The 22560-nt window shown below is 49.7% G+C and overlaps 1 pseudogene; it reads left to right on the top strand.

Moving 5' to 3' along the window:
* Nucleotides 914-22549, top strand: TEX28P3 (TEX28 pseudogene 3; annotated as a pseudogene).

Genomic DNA, 22560 nt, shown 5'->3' with positions numbered 1-22560 from the left:
GTAGCTGGGATTACAGGTGTGTGCCACCATGCCCGGCTAATTTTTGTATTTTTAGTAGGGACAGTGTTTCGCAGTGTTGACCATGATGGTCTCAAACTCCTGACCTCAAGTGATCCACCCGCCTTGGCTTCCCAAAGTGCTGGGATTACAGCTGTGAGCCACCACGCCCGGCCCCCCCACCCCCCGCTCTTTTTTTTTTGAGACAAGGTCTCACTCTGTCACCCAGGTTGGAGGGCAGTAGCACAGTCACAGGTCACTGCAGCCTCTACTTGCTGGGCACAAGTAATCCTCCTGCCTCAGCATCCTGAGTAGCTGGGACCACAGGTGCACACCACTGCCCTGGCAAGACTTGCTTTTTAAACAGTTGTTGAATTCTTACATTTGTCAGTGGTGTACTGAACTCCTTCATGTCTAAAAATGTCTTTAGTCTAACCCCACAGTTGACAGTTGGGGTGTAGAATTTTAGGCTGGGAAATCATTTTTCCCTCAGAATTTCGAAAGCAGCACTTCATTGTCTTTTTTTTTTTTTTTTTTTTTTTTTTTTTGGGACAGAGTCTTGCTCTGTCGCCCCAGGCTGGAGTACAGGGGAGTGATCCTCGGCTCACTGCAACCTCTTGGGTTCAAGCGATTCTCTTGCCTCAGCCTCCCGAGTAGCTGGGATTACAGGCGCCCACCACAATGCTGGCTAATTTTTGTATTTTTAGTAGAGACAGAGTTTCCTCATGTTGGCCAGCCTGGTCTCAAACTCTTGACTTCAAGTGATCCGCCTGCCTGGGCTTCCCAGAGTGCTGAGATTACAGGTGTGAGCCACCGTGCCCGGGCAGCACTTCATTGGCTTCTAGTTCCCCATGCTGTTGCTGAAGTCTGAAGCCATTCTGACTTCTGATTCTTTGAATGTGACCTATTTTTTTCTCTCTGACAGTTATTCTCTCAGTGTATCGAAAATATCAGTCAACTATCTTCTGGATTGCATTGATGCTATTGAGAAGGCAGCCTGCAGTCTAAAAGTCATGGTTTTAAAGGTAATCAGCTTTTTTTCCTCTGGCTGCTTTTAACATCTTGTGTCGGCCGCGGGCGGTGGCTCATGCTTGTAATCCCAGCACTTTGGGAGGCCCAGGTGGGCGGATCATTTGAGGTCAGGAGTTCCAGACCAGCCTGGCCAACATGGTGAAACACTGTCTCTACTAAAAATACAAAAATTAGCTGGGCTTGGTGGCGGGCGCCTGTAGTACCAGCTACTTGGGGGGCTGACGCAGGAGAATCGCTTGAACCCGGGAGGCAGAGGTTGCAGTGAGCCGAGATCACGCCACTGTACTCCAGCCTGGGCGACAAGAGCGAAACACTGTTTCAAAAAAAAAAAAAAAAAAAAAAATCTCGTGTCTAGGTGTGGACCTATTTCTGTCTTCCCTGCTTAGGATTTATTGGGCTTCTTGAATTTGTGAATTTGTGTCTTTCTTCAGTTCTGGAAAGTTCTTAGGGAGTTATCTCTTAAAATGTTGCTGCTGTGGCCGGTCGTAGTGGCTCATGCCTGTAATCCCAGCACTTTGGGAGGCCGAGGTGGGTGGGTCACCTGATGTTGAGAGTTCGAGAACAGTCTTGCCAACATGATGAAACCCCATCTCTACTAAAAATACAAAAGAATTAGCTAGCTGTGATGGCACGCGCCTGTAGTCCCAGCTACTCGGGAGGCTGAGGCACGAGAAGTGCTTGAACCCGGGCAGCAGAGGTCGGCCGTGAGCCGAGATTGTGCCACGGCACTCCGCCTAGGCAACAGAGTGTGACTCCATTTCAATTTAAAAAAAAAAGAAGAAAAATATGTATATATTGCTGCTGCTTCATTCTGTCTGTCTTCTCTCTCTGGTGTGACAATTGGATTTTTGTTAGACCTACTCATGCTACCTTCCATGTCTTCTATTTTTCAAGTTTTCTATTTTTTTGTGCCTCTGTGCTGCATTCTGGATACTTTTTTTTCTTTCTTTCTTTTCTCTTTCTCTCTCTCTCTCTCTCTCTCTCTCTCTCTTTCTTTCTTGGGATGGAGTTTTGCTCTTGTTGCCCAGGTTGGAGTGCAGTGGCGTGATCTCGGCTCACTGCAACCTCTGCCTCCTGGGTTCAAGCCATTCTCCTGCCTCAGCCTCCCAAGTAGCTGGGATTACAGGTGCCCACCACCATGCCCAGTTAATTTTTTGTATTTTTTAGTAGAGACAGGGTTTCACCATGTTGGTCAGGTTAGCCTCAAACTCCTGACGTCAGGTGATCCACCCGCCTTGGCCTCCCAAAATGCTGGGATTACAGGCGTGTGAGCCACCGCGCCCGGCCTGGATACTTTCTTTAGCTCCTCTGTACAATTTACCAACAGTCTCTCCAGCCATATCAAATCTGCCATTAAATCCATCAATTGAACATATTATTATTTATTATTTATTTATTTTTTGAGACGGAGTCTCACTCTACCACCCAGGCTGGAGTGCAGTGGCACGATCTCAGCTCACTGCAACTTCTGCACCCCGGGTTCAAGCGGTTCTCCTGCCTCAGCCTCCCGAGTAGCTGGGACTACAGGCGTGTGCCACCACGCCTGGCTAATTTTGTATTTCTAGTAGAGATGGGGTTTCTCTGTGTTGGTCAGGCTGGTCTTGAACTCCCGACCTCAGGTGATCCGCCCGCCTCGGCCTCCCAAAGTGCTGGAAGTACAGGTGTGAACCACTGTGCCAGGCATTTTTTTTTTTTTTTTTGTATTTTGTATAGACGGGGTTTCACCATGTTGGCCAGACTGGTCTTGACCTCCTGACCTCCGCCCGCCTCGGCCTCCCAAAGTGCTGGGATTACAGGCATGAGCCACCACACCTGGCCTATATTGAACATTTAAATAGTTTGAAAACTGTGAAATCTGGCATATGTATATAAAGGTGCAGAAAACATTGATGTATGTTTTAAGAAGTAACGATAAGGTGAACACACATTTAACCACTACTCAGGCCAGGCACCCCAGCCTCCACAGTCACCCCAGTCATAATCCCCTTCTCCCGCTCTAGTGGGAACCACCATCCTGGGGTTTCTGTTGCCAACATCCATGCTGCTCTTTAGCTTTCCTGCCTGTGTAGTCATCCCTACACAATATTGTTTAGTTTTGCCTGCTCTTGGAATTTATGTAAATGGAACCATATATAGTATGGATTTTCTGTCTGGTTTCTTTTGTTCAACATTATGCTTGTGAAATGCATTCATGTTTTTCAAGGCTGTAGTTCATTCTCATTGCTGTACAGTAGTATGTTGTTGCATATATTACAGTTTACTTACACTTTCTGGGCAGGTGGTTTGTTGCTAGTTGTTGGATATTGAGAACATCAGTGTACTTGCCTCCTGGGAATATCGCCTATGAATGCAGTTGCTGGATCATTTGGTAGGTATATCTTCAACTTTGTGATACTGTCAAGTGGTTTTCTAAGGTGGCTGTAGTACAAATTTGCTTCCCGCCAGTAATGATTGAGAGTTCCTGTTGCGCTATATCCTTGCCAACTCTTATTGTTGTTAGTCTGTCTGAGTTTGACCAATCTACTGGGTACATAGTGGTATCACTTTGCATTTTAAAAATTGAGGTATAGGCCAGATGCAGTGGCTCACACCGGTAATCCCAGCACTCTTTGGGAGGCCGAGGCGGGAGGATCACTTGAGGTCAGGAGTTGGAAACCAGCCTGGTCAACATGGTGAAACCCTGTCTCTACTAATAATACACGAATTAGCTGGGTGTGGTGATGCACACCTGTAATCCCAGCTACTCGGGAGGCTGAGCCATGAGAATTGCTTAAACCCGGGAGGCGAAGGTTGTAGTGAGCCGAGATTGCACCACTGCACTCCAGCCTGGGTGACAGAGTGAGACTCCGTCTCAAAAAACAAAAAAGTAGAAACGGAACAGAGGCTGCACCTGAGCTGCCCCCCACCTCCCTCTCCTAGCTCCTTGCTCTGGTGGGCTGGGTTCCAGCTATGCTGCTCTTGCCATCTTTATTTTAGAGGTAAGAAAACTGAGCCTCAGAGCAGTTTATTAACTTGCTCAAGGTCTCAGAGTGGTAGAGCCAGGATTTGAACTGGGCTCTTCGTCAAAGGCAATGTTAATCCCCTCACCATGTGAGAGACTCATTCTTTTGTGTTACAGTAGAATTTTCTGCCGTAGACTGTCAGCTGTATGAGATCAAGGAATGTATCTGGCTTCTGTACCACGTGGTAGGCACTCAGAGAAAGTATGTGTTGAATGAATGATTGGATGAATGAATGAACCTGTTAGGAGGCAAATCTCTCTGCCTAACCCTTCCTGTCTCCCTGGGAGTAGCAATACAGCAAGCTGTAAGAGTTGACGGAAATAAGCTTATTCCATACTTTACAAGAACAGTTCTTTATAAATGAGACCCACAATTGGTAATTTTTGGAAGAGAAAATAGGAGTGCAGTGCAAAAACAGGCAGATGTAGAAGGGAGTCTGGCCACCTGTGGGTCTTAGTGAGGCACACATGTAGAGCAAGGAGTCAGACGCTGAAAAGGAGGGGAGAGGGGCCCTGAAGATGAGCATCACCTCCTCAGTCTGTGTCGGGCCCATCTTGAATGCACAAATCTTGCGTGTGTAAGTATCCATGCATATGTGGAAGTGTTTTATGGAGTCATAACGTGTCCAATTCTCCCACACTTTGCGGCTCACAGAGCACCGTATTGTGATTTCTTGTTTCCCAACGTAGGCGGAACACACCAGGAGCCCCAGCGCAACCCTCCCCTCCAATGTGCCTTCATGCCGGTCCCTGTCATCCAGCGAAGACGGCCCCAGTGGCCCTTCCAGCCTCGCAGATGGAGGCCTAGCCCACAACTTACAGGATAGTGTCAGGCACCGCATCCTCTACCTCTCAGAGCAGCTGAGAGTGGAGAAGGCCAGTCGGGATGGCAACACTGTGAGCTACCTCAAGCTGGTATCCAAAGCAGACCGGCACCAGGTGCCGCACATCCAGCAGGCCTTTGAGAAGGTGAACCAGCGCGCCTCTGCCACCATCGCCCAGATCGAGCACAGGCTCCACCAGTGTCACCAGCAGCTCCAGGAGCTGGAGGAAGGCTGCAGGCCCGAGGGCTTACTGCTGATGGCAGAAAGCGACCCAGCCAACTGCGAGCCACCCAGTGAGAAGGCCCTGCTTTCAGAGCCCCCCGAGCCAGGTGGGGAAGACGGGCCGGTCAACCTGCCTCATGCCAGCAGGCCCTTCATCTTGGAGAGTCGCTTCCAGAGCTTACAGCAGGGGACGTGCTTAGAGACAGAGGATGTGGCCCAGCAACAAAACCTGCTGTTGCAGAAGGTAAAGGCAGAGCTGGAAGAAGCCAAGAGGTTCCACATCAGCCTCCAGGAGTCCTATCACAGCCTAAAGGAGAGGTCTCTGACTGACCTGCAGCTGTTGCTGGAGTCCCTTCAGGAGGAGAAGTGTAGGTGAGGCCTTGGCTCTGGGGACTGGAAGCAGAGGAGGAACCGCTCCCAGGAGCCACCTATGGGAGGGTGAAAGGGAGCCAGGACAGGAGCCTGGAGAGCCAGGGTGAGGGGCCAGTTGGAAGAGCAGGTCCATGCTTCTTTTAGCGACTGGGCCCTGCAGTGGGGCGAGCCAGCCCTCTCCCTGCAGTCCCACACCTGCCTTGACCCTTGCTAGCGAAAATGCTCCAGCTTGGCAGCCCCTGCCGGGTGGTTGCAGCGGCATAGCGGCTGGCCCTGACCCTGTGGTGGCAGGGGACAACATGGGGGTGGCAAGAGTCCGGTAGACACCTGGCACTAGTTAGGGAGGTGGCGTCCTTTGGTCCCAGTCGGCTGGGAAGGTGGGAGTCAGGACCGGAGTCGCCTCGCCAGCTCTGGTCTCTTCACATGTGCTCCTAGCTGAGCTGGGGCACAGGCCGGGTCTCAGATACTTATTTCAAAAATGACTGCCTTCTGGTGAATGCTTTCTCCGCACCGTGCAGTAGCTCGATTTTCTTTTTCTTTTTTTTCTTTTGAGATGGAGTCTCACTCTGTCGCCAGACTGGAGTGCAGTGGCACGATCTCGGCCCACTGCAACCTCCACCTCCCGGGTTCAAGCGATTCTCCTGCCTCAGCCTCCCGAGTAGCTGGGAATACAGGCGTGCACCAGCACATCCGGCTATTTTTTGTATTTTTAGTACAGGCGGGGTTTCACCATGTTGACCAGGATGGTCTCAATCTATTGACCTCGTGATCCGCCTGCCTCAGCCTCCCAGAGTGCCGGGATTACTGGTGTGAGCCACCTCACCCTGCCCTAGCTCGATTTTCTTTCCCTCTAAGATAAGGCTAGGGCCTACCAATTGGAGGAAAAAAAAAAAAAAAAAAAAAAAGGCAAACCCAATCTCTCAACGGATTCTCTCCATTCCTATTGGGACCGTTCTCTGGGTTTCCATGGGCCCTCAGGGGGTGCCACATTCTGTCCCCCTCGCTGCAGTCTGTGGCTAATTAACGCCAGTCCCTCCAGCGTCCTGGCTAGGGAGGCAGCGATTCCCTTAGGTGAGCCAAGATTCTCAGCATTTGCATGAAAAGAAGAACTCCGCAGTCCTTTTAGTGCCTGATGCAGGGGAAGCGGCGTGTGGGAATCATCCTCTTTAGTTTCCCCAGGGAAATCTTGCCAGCGTTTACATGGCCTAAGAATCTGTTAAAGGACAATCAAAGAATATTACAGGGCAACCACTGTCAATGAGATGACTAGTCAGAGTCACAGGCGTCTCTTGCAGATTATTTTCATAGGACATGGCAACCAAATCTAAAATCTTGGGAGCATCAAAGACCCTTTTGTGAAAATCACACTTACCCGGTCAGCTTTCTATTAAGCAACAGCAGAACTTGGTGGCAGTTACAAACTTCCCCGTATGTTTCCAAGCCACAGGGGCCAATGAGAATGCTGTGCTCAGGTAAACTCTTAACCCCTCTCAAATCCGAGTCTTTCGCCCGCTCTTGATACAGCGGTGACTACCGGGGAGCAGGGCAATACCTCTGTCTCTCCCCCTCTCAGACTTTTGCTGCAAATTCTAGAAGCCTGCACTTCTGACCCGGTACCCCCCATTGGACTGTGACATGGGATGTCTGGTTGTTTGCTGCAGCAGCGAGCCTACCCTTACTAATGTTCATCGTGAGCAGAAAAGCAGGTCTACAGGGCCCAAGCAGGTCTACAGGAGGAGAAAGGGCTGCTGATGATTTTTCACTGTTGTCACGGGCTCGTAACTGAGCTGGGGCACCAGGTTAAGCAGCCTTGTTCTTTGGCCCTCAGACGCCTACTTTATGGTTGGGGAAGCAGAGTCTCACAGAGGCACAAGCAGGCTACGTGGCTGCTAAGTGCGGACCTGAGAGCATTTCACCACACCCTGGCTGTGTGGCTAAGTTAGATGCAGGGGACACAGGAGTTCATGGCATTTTAAAAACATATACTTCCGTAAAATCTTCTTCAAAACTTTTACATGATCTGGACACAGAAGTGTTTCAACCAGCCAGGCTCCCTGTGACTGTTGCGTCCCCTCTGGTGCATCACAAACTGAGAATCCATACTGCAAGTCCTGTGCTGTTTATCACAGTTAAATCCGTTTGCTTTCAGGAGGGCTGTTGTGGTTTTTATCATTATGGTTTCTTTTTAATTTGGTCTCGGCATGTCTCTACTGAGAGTGGCCATAGCCGAGATACCCAGTTTCTAGGAGATCCCTGACCCGTGGGAAAGTTAGGTTCGGATGTGTGTGTCAGGGGAGCCACAGTGAGGAGGCAGACGAAAATGCATGAAACAGCAGAAATGGGCTGGGCGTGGGGGCTCACGCCTGTAATCCTAGCACTTTGGGAGGTTGAGGTGGGCAGACTGCTTGAGCTCAGGAGTTTGAGACCAGCCTGGGCAACATAGTGAGACCCGGTATCTACAAAAACATCAAAAAATTAGCTGGGCGTGATGGCGCGTGCCTGTAGTCACAGCTACTCAGGAGGCTGAGCGGGAGCGGGGATCCCTTGAGCCCGGGAGGTTGAGGCTGCAGTGAGTCATGATTGCACCACTGCACTCCATTCTGGGTGACAGAGCAAGACCCTGTGTCAAAAAAAAAAAAAAAAAAAGAAATGTATGACTCAGATCGAAGAGATGTTAGGTGTGCTGATGGGAGGCAGAGGGGAAGTCTGGAGGCAGCAGGGAGCTGATTGAGCTCATCAGCTGTGCAACAGCGAAGCCCAGAACGGAAGGGCGGGGAAGCTTCCGGGGCTGTGCCTGTATTAAGGTCACAGGGTGTGAAGTGATCCCACAGGCTTTCCTGCGGGGGTTGTGGATTGGCTGGTTTAAAGAAAACATGCACGAGGAGGAAACTGATTTACATGACTCTGGTGTTGAGCATTAGGTCTTATCGTGGTCAGCAGCCGTGGGATGTGTTGGGTTTTGGGTCAGTGAGGCGAGGACCACGTGGGCTATGTCGCAAACAATCACATGACAGGGAGGGAGGGGTGTTATCTAGGGCAAAGGTGACAGGGTACAACTGCTAAAGTTGGATGCTGAGGCAGCAACTGTATTAAACGCATTTATGACAAGGGCTTACTTAAAAAAATTGATGTAGAATTCACATAATTTCACGTAATGTGAAATTAACCATTTGGAAGCATGTAATTCAGTGCATTAAGTACATCTGCAGTGTGGTTCAACCATCACCTCTGTCCGGTTGTCTAACATTCTCATCACCCCAGAAGGAGACCTCCAGACTCACTACACGGTCACTCCTAGCCTCGGCTCCAGGCGTTCCCTAATCTGCTTTCTGTCTCCGTGGGTTTGCCTCTTCTGGACTTTTCATATAAATGGGACCATACGATATGTGGGCTTTTGTGTCTAGCTCCTTTCACTGTTTTCAAGGTTCACTAATGTTGTAGCACGTATCAGTACTTCATTCTCTTGACGGCTGACTAATATTCCAGTGCATGGGTAGACCACATTTTGTTTATCTGTCCATCAGTGGATGGAGATTTGAGTTGTTTCCACCTTTTGGCTATTGTGAGAAGCCCTGCGCTGAACACTCAGATACATGCCAGTTGTTTGAACACCAGTTTTCAATTCTTTGGGGTCTATAATCAGGAGTAGAATTGCTGGACCCCGTGGTGACTCCAGGTGTAGCGTTTAGAGGAGTCTTCCCACAGCAGCCGCGCAGCTCCATCTTCCCACCAGCAATGCAGAAGGCTTCCAGTTGCCTCACATCCTTGCCAACATTTGTTGTTATCCTTTTTTTTTTTTTCCAACAGATGTAACTGTGAAGTGGTATCTCATTATGAGGGCTGGCTTTCTTTTTTATTTTTCCTGAGTCTTTGGATAGGCAAAAGTTCTTTCTTTCTTTCTTTCTTTCTTTCTTCTTTTTCTTTTTCTCTCTTTCTTTCCATCTCTCTCTCTCTCTTTCTTTCTTTTTCTTTCTCTCTTTCTCTTTCTTCCTTTCTCTCTGTCTCTCTCTCTCTCTCTCTATCTCTCTTTCTTTCTTTCTTTTTCTTCAGGGTCTCTGTTGCCCAGGCTGCATGCAGTCATAGTTCACTACAGCCTTGAACTCCTGGGCTCAAGCGATCTTCCTGCCTCAGCCTCCCGAGTAGCTGGGAGTACAAAGCATGTGCCACCATGCCTGGCTAACTTTTTAAAAATTATTATTATTTGTAGAGATGGGATCTTGCTATGTTGCCCAGGCTGGTCTTGAACACCTGGCCACGGCCTCCCCAAGTACTGGGGTTACAGATGTGAGCCACTGTGCCTGGACAGTTCTTACTTTTTAATGCATTTTTTAATTGATTGTGGTAAAAACAAAAAACCCACAATATATTCTTTTTGATTCTGCGAAGTGCAGGGTCTCTATCACAGCAACAATTAGACTCAGGAGGCTTGGGGCTGGCCCTGGGGTCTCCTCCTTCATGAGGTCTGGGTTTGTAGGTCCTTGCAGAGGACGTTCCTGGGTCCTGGAAGGACTGTGACTGCTTCCGCTGGAGTTGCTTGAGGCCCCTGGTAACTCTCCTCTCTGTGTGCTGAGGAGAAGCACGGGCGTCGCGAACTTGATGATTCTGGATGGAAGGGTCTTTGCCAAGCTTCCCTTTCTTTCTTGTGGAAATAGGAGGAGCTTCAGATCTCCGAGAAGATGCACAGTGAGCGGCCGACCTCCTCAGCACAAGCCAGTCTCCTGGGGGACCAGAAGGCCCCGGTCCCTCAGTTTCTTCGTGGGTCAGGAGGAAAGAAGGCTTGAGAAACTCAGAAAACGTTCATTGGTAGAAGAGATGGCACCCAAGGAAGGCATGGGGAGCCTTCAAGTAAAAGTCTCGACTGGCCAGGTCTCATCTGGGCACCTTGCATGCAGAGTTGCAGGAGGCCCCCTCTAGCCTCCTAATGAGCCAGGGGGCTCTGGGAGGGTCTTGGGGGTCCTTCCCCATCTCTTACAGGATGCGCAGCTGACTTCTGCTTGATGGTGAAAGGCAGTCAGGTTTCAGTCTTGGCCCCGTAGACAGGGCATGGACAAGTCCTGGAGTTGGGGGTATGGTGCCAGCAAAACCATCTTTACTCTCTGGGGTCCATAGCCAGTCCCAGCCTGCCCAGCCCCACCCTCCTCCTTCACCTTTGTAGCCCGAGTGGTCAATGCCTGGGGTAGATGGGTTGCTGGGACATCTTTGTTCTTTGTTGGATGAGTAAAATGGTCCTGGGAGAAAACCCGACTGTGAGGAGCACATTGCTTCTTTTTTTTGTCTTTTTTATGAGATGGAGTCTCACTCTGTCCCCCAGGCTGGAGTGCAGTGGCACGATCTCGGCCCACTGCAACCTCCACCTCCCCGGTTCAAGCGATTCTCCTGCCTCAGCCTCCCGAGTAGCTGGGATTACAGGCACACGCCAGCATGCCTGGCTACTTTTTGTATTTTTCAGTAGAGATGGGGTTTCGCCATGTTGACCAGGGGTCTCGAACTCCTGACCTGAAGCGATCCACCCGCCTCGGCCTCCCAAAGTGCTGGAGTTACAGGTGTGAGCCACCACACCTGGCTGGAGGACATTGCTTCTTGCCCCATTTCTAGTTCCCTAGACCTGCCTTGGCATCAACTCATTGAAGGCTCCACTTGGTGACAAGGAACCGGCTTATTTGGAAACAGGGTCGTTGCGGACGTGATGAGTTAGATCTGGATGAGGTCATTCTGCAGAGGGGTGGGCCCTAATGCAGTGTGACCTGTGTCCTGACAGAAAGGGGAGACGGAGACACGGACACACCCAGAGGGAGAGCGCCGTGTGGAGACAGAGGCTGAGGCCGACCTGCCGTGGCAGAAGCCAAGGAAGCCCGCAGGTGGGCAGCAGAGCAGAAGCTGGGACAGAGGCCCCGAGTGGAGGCGCCTTCTCGGTCCTCGGCAGGAGCCCGCCCAGCCTGGGCCTTCCTCTCGGACTGCTGGACCCCCAGCCAGGAGAGAGGCCATCTCTGCTGGGAAAGCCACTCAAAGTTTGTAACGCTTTGTGATGGCAGCCAGAGGAAACTCCCACACTCAGCTTGTCCTTTAGGCTCTGCTCTGATGTCCTCTCCTCAAAGGGACTTCCCAGGCTACCACGTTCAAATGGCCTCTTCTTTTATTCTTTTGGAAGCGGGGTTTTTTGAAGTAAAGTTTTTGTTTTTTTGTTTTTTTTAGATGGAGTTTTGCTCTTGTTGCCCAGACCGGAGTGCAATGGCGCAATCTCGGCTCACTGCAACCTCCGCCTCCTGAGTTCAAGCGATTCTCCTGCGTCAGCCTCCCGAGTAGCTGGGATTACAGGCAGGCACCACCACGCCTGGCTAATTTTGTAATTTTAGTAGAGATGGGGTTTCTCCATGTTGGTCAGGCTGGTCTCGAACTCCTGTCCTCAGGCGATCCACCTGCCTCGGCCTCCCAAAGTGCTGGGATTACAGGAGTGAGCCACCGCGCCTGGCCTTTTTGAGGTAAATTTTATGCAGTGAAATTGCATTTAAGTTTAGGCATACAGTTTAACGAGTTTTGACAAAGGTTTACACCTGGGCAGCTAAAATCCCAATAAAGAGCTTTGCCACCACCCCAGAAAGTACCCTCATACCCTCTTCCAGTGAATGCCCGTCTCCCATAATTGGCCACTGTTCCGGTTTCTGTCACTCTAGCTTCATCTCCTTTTGAACTTCACGTAAGTGGAATCGCACGGCACGCAGTGCTTTGTGTCTGGCGGCTTTCGCTCCGTGGAATTGTTTTGAGATCCACCCAAGCTGTGTGAAGTGAGTAGCTCATGGCTTCGTATTGCTTGGCAGCCTTCCATTGCATGGAGACGCCGCAGGTTGCTTATGCCCTGGTCCGCTGCCAGTTGGGGCGACTGAATAAAGCTGCTATGAACGTTCTCGCACAAGTCTTTCTGTGAACATATGCTTTCATATATGGAATTGCTAGATAACAGGGAAGTGTTATGTGTCTTAGTCCCACTTTCTGTTGCTGTAACAGAGTACCGCAGGCTGGGTGGTTTATAAAGAAAGGAAGTTCAATGTCAAGGCGCTGGCAGCTGGTGAGGACCTTTGTACGGCATCATCCTATGGCGGAAGGCAGAAGGGCAAGAGGGCGTGAGAGAGCGAGCGGGGGCCAAACTTTCATGATAACAATATTAATATTAATCGCCTCTTACCAGTCCCACCCCTTAACACCATCACATGGCCATTAAATTTCAACACGAGTTTTGGGGGGGACATGTACACCATAGCAGTATGCTTAACTTTTTAAGAAAGAGGAAGGCCGGGCGCGGTGGCTCACCCCTGTAATCCCAGCACTTTGGGAGGCTGAGGCAGGCGGATCACCTGAGGTCGGGAGTTCGAGACCAGCCTGAACAACATGGAGTAAACCCTGTCTCTACTAAAAATACAAAATTAGCCCGGCGTGGTGGCACATGCCTGTAATCCCAGCTACTCGGGAGGCTGACGCAGGAGAATCGCTTGAACTCAGGAGGCGGAGGTTGCGGTGAGCCGAGATCGTGCCATTGCACTCCAGCCTGGGCAACGAGTGAAACTCCATCTCAAAAAAAAAAAAAAGAGGAACTGTTTTCCGACATGGCTATACCATTTTACAGTCCCGCTAGGAGTGTATAAGAGTTCCAGTTGCCAACGTTTGGCAAGATCAGTCTTTTAAATGTCAGCCTCTTAAGTTCAGCCACAACTTGGTGAAATTAGACTCCAAAATTTCATCACCCTAGCCCATGTTCTCTCGACCTTGGCACTGTCGACATTTTGGACCAAATGATTCTCTGTTGTGCGGGGCTGTCCTGTACATTCTAGGATGATGAGCAGCATCCCTGGTCTCCACTTACTTGATGCCAGTGGTGCCGTGAATTAATTGATGCTGCCGTGACAAATTGCCCCCAACTTCATGGCTTAAAATAATAGAAAGTTATTCTCTCGCAGTCCTGGAGGCTAGAAGGCCGAAATCCGTTTCACTGGGCTGAAATCAGGCGAGGAGGACACACACTCATTGGAGGCTCTAGGGGACAAACTGATCTTTGCCTCTTCCAGTTTCTGGTGGCTGCCAAATTCCTTAATTTTGTGGCCACATCATTCCTGTCCTGAAGGCCAGCATCTTCAAACCTGTGTTCTGTCTTCACATGACATTCTCGTCTGTGTGTGTCTAATGTCCTTCTGCCTCTCTCTCATACATGTGATTGCATTTAGGGCCACCAGGATAATCTAGGATAATCTTTGCATCTCAATACCCTTAAACTCACCACTTCTGGAAAGCCCCCTTTTTTGGTCATAGAAGGTAACATTCACAGTTTCCAAGGATTATGACACAGATATCTTTTGCGGAGGGGCTTTTTGTTTTTTTCTTTTTTAGACAGAGTCTCTCTCTGTCACCCAGGCTGGAGTGCAGTGGCACGATCTTGGCTCACTGCAACCTCCGCCTCCTGGGTTCAAGCAATTCTCCTGCCTCAGCCTCCCAAGTAGCTGGGACTACAAGCGCGTGCCACCACACCCAGCTAATTTTTTTGTATTTTTCATAGAGACGGGGTTTCACCCTGTTGCTCAGGGTGTTCTTGAACTCCTGAGCCCAGGTAATCTGCCCACCACAGCCTCACAAAGTGCTGGGGTTACAGATGTGAGCCACCGTGCCCAGCCTAGGGGGGCAATTTTAGCCTACCGTGCCCCACCTATTTGTAACAACCAGAAATGTCTGTCCAGAGATTGCCAAATGTCCCTTGTTTGGGGAGGGGGGGGCCGGCAAATTGCCCCTGGTTGAGAACCAGTATCCTAGCCCATGAGACTAGTGGGTGTGTGACCCTGCCTCTGACAATTAATGATGCTGAACCCCTTTTCATGTGCTTATCAGCCAATAAGTCTTTGGCTTGTTTTCAACTTGGATTGTCTTTTTATTGTTGAGTTGTCAGAGCTCTTTATATACTCCGGACCAGTCTTTGTCACTCCCCTACTTTTTCCTTTCTCGCAGCACTCACCGCCTAAACTGCTCTCCCTTGTGTAGGTATTCATTTGTGTTGTATTGTTCTCGTCAAAATATCAGCACATTCAGGTCGGCCACTGTGTCTGAGTGACTGCCCAAAGACATGTTGGCACATGATGGCTGTTCTGTGAGTACCTGTTTCATGGATCAGTCTGGATGCTGCTTTTCCTCCCTTCCTGAAGGGACCCAGCTCGCCCTCTGGGCTGCCTCCCTCCTCCATGTATGTCAGAACTCTATCTGCTGTGTCTTGGGAACATCAGGGCAGGGCCAGGAGGGCTGATTCTGGATTTAGGCCTGGCCCAGCCTCCTCTCTGCAAGGTATTTACTGAATGACCTTGGACGAGGTGCTTCAAGTTTGCAATCCTCAGTTTCCACATCTGTAACATGGAGGTAAAAATGATCCCACTATTGTTGGAACTGTTGTGAGAATTAATTAATACTTGTGTGTAAGCCCCAAGTAGATGCTGATGGAACTGAATTTACAATTCCTTTCTGCTTCCTATGTGCAAACTAAGTCCTTGAAAGATCGTAAAGAAAAATGGGGCCAGATGTGGTGGCTTATGGCTGTAATCCCAGTGCTTTGGGAGGTCGAGGCAGGAGGATTGCTTCAGCCCAGGAGTCTGAGACCAGCTTGGGTAACAAAGTGAGACCATATCTCTGCAAAAAATTTTAAAAGTATTAACCGGACTTGGTGGCACATGCCTGTAGTCCCTGCTACATGGGAGGCTGAGACAGGAGGATCGCTTGAGCCCGAGAGTTTTATGTTGCAGTGAACTATGATTGTGCCACTGTGCTCCAGCCTGGGTGATAGAGGACAGAGTGAGAACTTGTCTCAAAAAAAAAACAGAAAGAGAGAGAGAGAGAGAGGAGAGAGAGAGAGAGGAGAGAGAGAGAGAGAGAGAGGGAGAGAGAGAGAGAGAGAGAGAGAGAAAGAAAGAGAAAGAAAGAAAGAAAGAAAGAAAGAAAGTTGTTAATGGCTTTTTTTTTTTTTTGAGGTGGTGTCTTGCTCTGCTGCCCAGGCTGGAGGGAGTGCAGTGGCTTGATCTCAGCTCACTGCAACCTCTGCGTCCCGGATTCAAGTGATTCTCCTGTCTCAGCCTCCTGAGTAGCTGAGATTACAGGCATGCACCACCACGCCCAGCTAATTTTTGCATATTTTAGTAGAGACGGGGTTTCATCATGTTGGCCAGGCTGGTCTCCAACTCCTAATCTCAAATGATCCACCTGCCTTGGCCTCCCAAAGTGCTGTGATTACAGGCGTGAGCCACCACTCCCGGCCAATGACTCTTGATAAATTCATCAATGGAGCACCCTAGGTTGATGAGCTCAGGGATTTGGCCAAGATCTCGACCTGACCCTGCCTTCCTCTTCTTTCCCTGAGTCAATGCCTCCTGGGTTTGTCATTCCTGCTGCCCTCTCCTCTCCACAGCATTACAGTGCTCCACTACCCCTTACTCTGGTTGTCTGTCACTTTCTAGCAGCTTCTCTAGGACCGTCTCCACATACCTGATGGTCTTGTCCATCTCTCATTCATAAATTGCTGGTAGAGGTTCAGAGATAAGAAGCTACTCAAGTCAGAAAGCAGATTGGTGGTTACCAGGGACTGGGGTGATGGGGAATGGGGAGTGACTGCTAAATAGTATTTTTTCGAGGCAGTGATGAAAATGTTTTGGAACAATTTTTTTTTTTTTTTTGAGACGGAGTCTCGTTCTGTCACCCAGGCTGGAGTGCAGTGGCGTGATCTCGGCTCACTGCAAGCTCCGCCTCCCGGGTTCACGCCATTCTCCTGCCTCAGCCTCCCGAGTAGCTGGGACTACAGGCGCGCACCACCACGCCCGGCTAATTTTTGTATTTTTAGTAGAGACGGGGTTTCACCGTGTTGGCCAGGATGGTCTCGATCTCCTGACCTCGTGATCCGCCCGCCTCGGCCTCCCAAAGTGCTGGGATTACAGGCATGACTGCAGCCGGCCAATGTCTTGGAACTATTAATAGCCATGGTGGTTGCACAACACCACATGTGCTAAATGCCACTGAATTGTTCACCTTAAAATAATTCATTTTATGTTACATGAAATTTACCTCAATAAAAATTGAATAAAAAAGAAGCTACTCAGGTGCCGAGTAGGCAAAACTTTCACTCTTGCTTTGTATTTCTGGCTGTATCCACAAGTGGGCAGTCGTGAAATTTTCTTATAGCCTCCTGTCATATTGAAAACGCCCGGAAGTGAATATGCCAGGTCTCCATGTTTTTCTTTCCCTTCTGGACACGAGGTCCTTGGGGGCATCCAGACCCTAGCTCCTCTGTCCCAAGACTGTTCTGGTATGTTTCGCTTTCAGACGAGGCTTGGAGATAACAGGCTATGGTTCCTAGAGGCTTCAGTGTTGCTCTGTGACCTCTCAGCCCCAGGGATCCAGTCTCGGGCTGACTTTCCTCAAGGTATCTGCTTAGGGCTTTGTTGCAGGCTGGGGTCGTGTTAACTTGAAGGCACAAGAACTTCCATTTTTTCCCCGACTTCTCCTCCATGTCACAGCATCCTGCATCTTGGGATCTCTGAGGAGGTCTGACCTAAGGTCTGATCTGCTCTCTGAACTGGTTCCTCTCATCCCTATTGCGTTGAAGCAAAGCACAGACATTATATCAGTTCATCTGTAAATATTTCAGTGTGAACCTGAAATATGGATCATTTTGTTAACATAGCCTAAATACCATACCAAAAATGTTTTAAAACAAGTCCACAATGTTAAATATGCAGTCACTGTCACCTTATTGCCTCACACATGCCATCATTCCTTTTTATTTCTGAAGGAATTCTTTTTTTTTTTTTTTTTTGTGAGACAGAGCCTCACCCTGTCACCCAGGTTGGAGTGCAATGGTGAGATCTCGGCTCGCTGCAACCTCTGCCTCCCAGGTTCAAGCGATTCCCCTGCCTCAGCCTCCTCAGTAGCTGGGATTACAGGCATGTGCCACCACGCCCGGCTAGTTTTTGTATTTTTAGTAGAGACGGGGTTTCACCATGTTGGCCAGGCCGGTCTTGAACTCCTGACCTCGTGATCCGCCTGCCTCGGCCTCCCAAAGTGCTGGGATTACAGGCGTGAGCCACCACACCCGGCCCTGAAGGATATTTTTTGCTGGACATAGAATTCTAAGTTGGCACTTAATTTTTGGAAATAATAAGCATTTTGAACAAATCATTCCCTTCTGACTTCCATGGTTTCTGTTGAAAAGGCAGCTGCCAGTCTTCTTGTTGCTCCTCGGATCACAGTTTTGTTTTCCTCAGGCTCCTTTTAAGATCTTTTGTTTTTCTTTGTTGTTTAGTGGTTTTGCTATGATGATGTTTGGCGTGATTTTCTTTCTCTCTTCTTTTTTGTGCCGCTGACTCTCCCCTTGGTGTGATTTTCTTTGCATTCATCCTGCTTGGGCTTCGCATTGCTACTTGGGGTTATGGCTTGATGTCTTTTGTCAGTTTTGGACGTTTTCAGCCATTATATTTTCAAATAGTGACTCTGCCCTAGTCTCTCATTTTTCCCCTTCTAAGGCCCCAGTTACATGTATGTTCAACCTTTCCACTGTATCCCTACATCCTCTGGGTTCCTGTGTGAGCCGTCCTGGCGAATTTCCTCCTGCTTTCGCTTCTGTTTTGTTGGCTCTTCCCCCAGCTCCCCAGGGCCCCTTGCTTTGGCACATTTGCTCAGAGTGAGCTCATCCATCCTGGCCACATGCACCGATTGCACCTGGGCTATTGACCCCTCCTACAGCTGTTTCTCCGTCTCAGACTTTTCCTCCAAGTTGTGGGCCATGATTAGGCTCTAGCTCAATTTGCCAAAAGCAAATTCTCAGAAATGACCAAGAATATACTCTTTCCGGCTGGGCCCAATGGCTCACACCTGTAATCCCAGCACTTTGGGAGGCCGAGGCAGGCGGGTCACCTGAGGTCAGGAGTTGGAGACCAGCCTGGCCAACATGGTGAAACCCTGTCTCTACTAAAAATACAAAAAATTAGCCCGGCATGATGGCGCATACCTGTAGTCCCAGCTACTCAGGAGGCCGAGGCAGGAAAATCACTTGAACCCGGGAGGCGGAGGTTGCAGCAAGCCAAGATCGTGCCACTGCACTCCAGCCTGGGCAAACAGAAGGAGATCCGTCTCAAAAAAAAAAAACAACAACACTATTTTGAAAAAAACAATAAAGTTTAGAACACTTTGTGTTGGAGAGGGTGGTCTTAACACCTTCGGTCTGTCTTGAGGGTGTCTGGGTTGACTGGTCATCGTTTTGTGTTCATAAGAGCATTCTCCAGAGTTGTCCATTTGCTTTTGTGACTGTAGGAGGTGGAGAGAGGGGGGTCCTTGACCAAGGAAGAGAAGGGAGCGCGGCTGCCAGAGGGCCAGGAGATGGGGGCCAGAGAGAAGGGGAGACTGAGAGAATATCCTTATGAAAATATTGTTTACTGACATCTGAATAGACTCTTCAAGAATGCACTGAAGAATATCTTCATGTATCTTTACCAATACATTGATGAAGATTGACTTCATATTCCTGAGGACAGTTAAAATCTTGAATGTTCTCACAGCTAGATCATTCATGTAAATGGAAAGACAGTAATGAGGAATCTATTTTCGGGGTGACCATCCTGCCGACCCACTCCCCCTCTCTGTGAGCAGTGGCCTAGTCCATGTTGTCCACCGACTCTCTTCTTAACAGGGACCTGGGGCAGAGACAAATGGAATATTCCTTGAAATGCTGCGAGGAACCAGCTTTTGACAAATTGGCTTTCAACAAATGAGCTGTCAGCTTATTCAGTGCCCGGGGGATTTCTCCGTGTGGGTGTTGGTCAAGTCCTTGGAGTGGGACCGAATAGAAGTCGTCACTGTTTTCCCCGTCTCTGTCAGCACCACCGTTTAGACCTCCTGCACCTGAGGCCTGCCGCCACCCTCCTGGGCCTCCTGGGGCGGCAGCCCTGCCAGTCTATGGGTTCCATCACGCTCTGGTGCCTTCTCTCTTCTACGTAAGCGGTGGTGCCAGAGCCCCCTCACTGGCCCCCTGGCCTCTGTCCTTCTGGCCCGTTCTTTGTGGTGCCAAAAGGGGAACTTCATAGAAGTTTTTAAATTATGAAGTATTTCAAGCAAAGGGAAAATGTAAGGATAACATAATTAACAGCCCCAGCTTTCTGAAATCTTAACATTTGCCATATTCACTTCAAATCTTATTTTTTTAGGAAATAAAACTTTAAAATATTCTGTTGAAGCCCTCATTACCCCTTTCCAGCACCATCTCCCTTCCTTGCTATTCTGGCCTTGCTATACTGGCCTCACCATTCTCATTTGGGTGCTTATCTTTTCCATGCATGGTTTTATACTTTTACTACTTATATAATTATATACACAACAGGTAGTGATTGTTTTCTTTTAGAGATAGGGTCTCACTCTGCTGCCCAGGCTGGAGTGCAGTGGCGTGATGGCAGCTCACTGCAGCCTCGAACTCCCGGACTCAAGAGGTCCTCCTGCCTCAGCCTCCAGAGTAGCTGAGACTACAGGCGCGTGCCACCACACCCAGATAATTAAAAATTTTTTTTGTAGAGACAGGGTCTCACTGTGTTGCCCAGGCTGGTGTTGAATTCCTCCTGGCCTCAAACAATCCCCTTGCCTTGGCCTCCCAAAGCGCTGGGATTGCAACTGTGAACCACTGCGCCTGGCCTGCTTGTGGTTTTTTAACAGCTCTATTGAGATATAATTTACATATTATAAAATGCACCATTTTAACTACATTTCAATGGTTTTTAGTAAATTTACTGAGTTGCGCAACTATTGCCATGATTCACTTTTCTCTTTTTGTTTAAATAACGGCTCTATTGAGATATAATTCACATCCCATAAAATTCACCAATTTAAAGTGTACAATTCACTGGTTTTTCGTATAGTCACAGAGTTGTTCAACCATCACCACTATCTAATTCCACAATATTCTCTTTTTTTTTTTTTTGAGACGGAGTCTCGCTCTGTCGCCCAGGCTGGAGTGCAGTGGTGTGAACTCTGCTCACCGCAAGCTCCGCCTCCCGGGTTCACGCCATTCTCCTGCCTCAGCCTCCCGAGTAGCTGGGACTACAGGCGTCCGCCACCACGCCCGGCTAATTTTTTTTTGTATTTTTAGTACAGACGGGGTTTCACCGTGTCAGCCAGGATGGTCTCGATCTCCTGACCTCATGATCCGCCCGCCTTGGCCTCCCAAAGTGCTGGGATTACAGGCGTGAGCCACCGTGCCCGGTCCTACAATATTTTCACCAGCCCCAAAGCAACCCTGTACTCATTAGCAGCCACTGCCCATCCCCCACCCCCAGCCCCTGGCACCCACTAATCTGCTTTCTGTCTCTATGGATTTGCCTATTCTGGACATTTCGTAACTAATGGAATTGTACTGGAATCTGTGGTCTTTTGTGGCTTTTCAATCCTTATAGTCACCATGTTTCTATAGAGTAACTGCAGGCTAAACTGCAGGCTAGACTTCGTGCTCAACACTGGTCCTGGGGGATTTGCGGAACTGAAGAGCACACACAGATAGTTCACACTGTCATTTCTACAACTTCTAGTCTGTGGCTATTTTTGTAAAGCTGTTACAAAAGAGTAACTACATATAAAATATATATGAATATTGGTGTGCGTGTGGCTGGTGTGTGTTTGGGGTGTTCCCAGGCAGACCTGGAGTGGGAGGCAGGCTTTCCCTAGAGCCTGGGGAGCGGGGAGGAAGGCAGAAGCTGAACCCGAATCTAGTCTAGGTCAGGACCGCTCGCTGTTGGCATGAGCTCTGGATGAGGTACTGAAGGAATCTCACTTTCTCTTTTGCTCCCAAGGCAAGCATTGATGGAAGAACAGGTGAATGGTCGCCTGCAGGGACAGCTGAATGAGATTTACAACCTCAAACACAATCTGGCCTGCAGCGAAGAGAGAATGGCCTATCTATCCTATGAGAGAGCCAAGGAAATATGGGTGAGAACCTCCTGGGGGAGCCTTGCAAGAAGACTGGAGGGATGAGCGAATCTATTCTGATACCCCCAAACCAAAGCAAGACACGGGTCCTCGAGCTGCCCCCTCCTGAGGGTTCGATGGCCACACACATTTGTTTCAGAGCTAGCAGCATCTGATCTTTACACTCACGCTCCGCTTCCCACCATCTGGCTTAGCTGCTTTTGCCACTCTGGTGCTGCAGTGCTCACCCGTGAGCCTCTGACTCGGGAGATCTGGGGTGGAGCTGCTTCTGCTGCGGCTGCAGGTGTAGGGAGCGCCCTCTCAGAACCCCTCCTTAGACCTGGCTTCCCTCTCCTCACTTTTCCATTCCCATAGCGCCCACCCCCGTCCCTGGGTAGCTGTGTCTTGACCAGGTCCTCAGCTTCGGGAGACAGTGGATGGGGGAGTGCAGCCGGGTCAGATGAAGCTTTCCCTGTTGCTGGAGAGCCTGCGCCCTCCCCTCTGCCCTGAATGTGCTCTAGGCTCTCTGCTTCCCTCCTCGAATACCCACTCCACAGTGCTTTCTGCTCACCCCTAAGAACTCAATAAACGACCACAACTCTGTGCTGACTTCTGGTGCGTGCATTTTCGTCTCCTGCAGGAGATCACGGAGACCTTCAAGAGCCGAATATCCAAGCTGGAGATGCTACAGCAAGTCACCCAACTGGAGGCAGCGGAGCACCTCCAAAGCCGTCCCCCGCAGATGTTGTTCAAGTTCCTGAGTCCGCGCCTCTCACTGGCAACCGTCCTCTTGGTCTTTGTCTCCACCTTGTGTGCCTGCCCCTCGTCACTGATCAGCTCACGCCTGTGCACCTGCACCATGCTGATGCTGATCGGGCTTGGGGTCCTGGCCTGGCAGAGGTGGCGCGCCATCCCTGCCACAGACTGGCAGGAATGGGTCCCCTCCAGGTGTAGACTGTACTCCAAGGACTCTGGGCCTCCAGCAGATGGACCTTAAGGGGCCAGGAGGGCCACCTGCCTTAGCTTGCTAGCTCCCTCCCTCCTCCTGGGTGCTGAGGGCATCCAGCAAGCCCCTCCACAGCTCTTGCTTGCCGATTATGTAACCACCAGCCTGGTGAAATGGATATAGACGCCCACCTGCCTCACACTTCTGTTTTG

This window comes from Homo sapiens, chromosome X, assembly GCF_000001405.40.
Source record: "Homo sapiens chromosome X, GRCh38.p14 Primary Assembly".
In the NCBI taxonomy this organism is placed as follows: domain Eukaryota; kingdom Metazoa; phylum Chordata; class Mammalia; order Primates; family Hominidae; genus Homo; species Homo sapiens.
The sequence above is the reverse complement of the archived record's forward strand: the minus strand, read 5'-3'. Positions and strand labels throughout refer to the sequence as shown.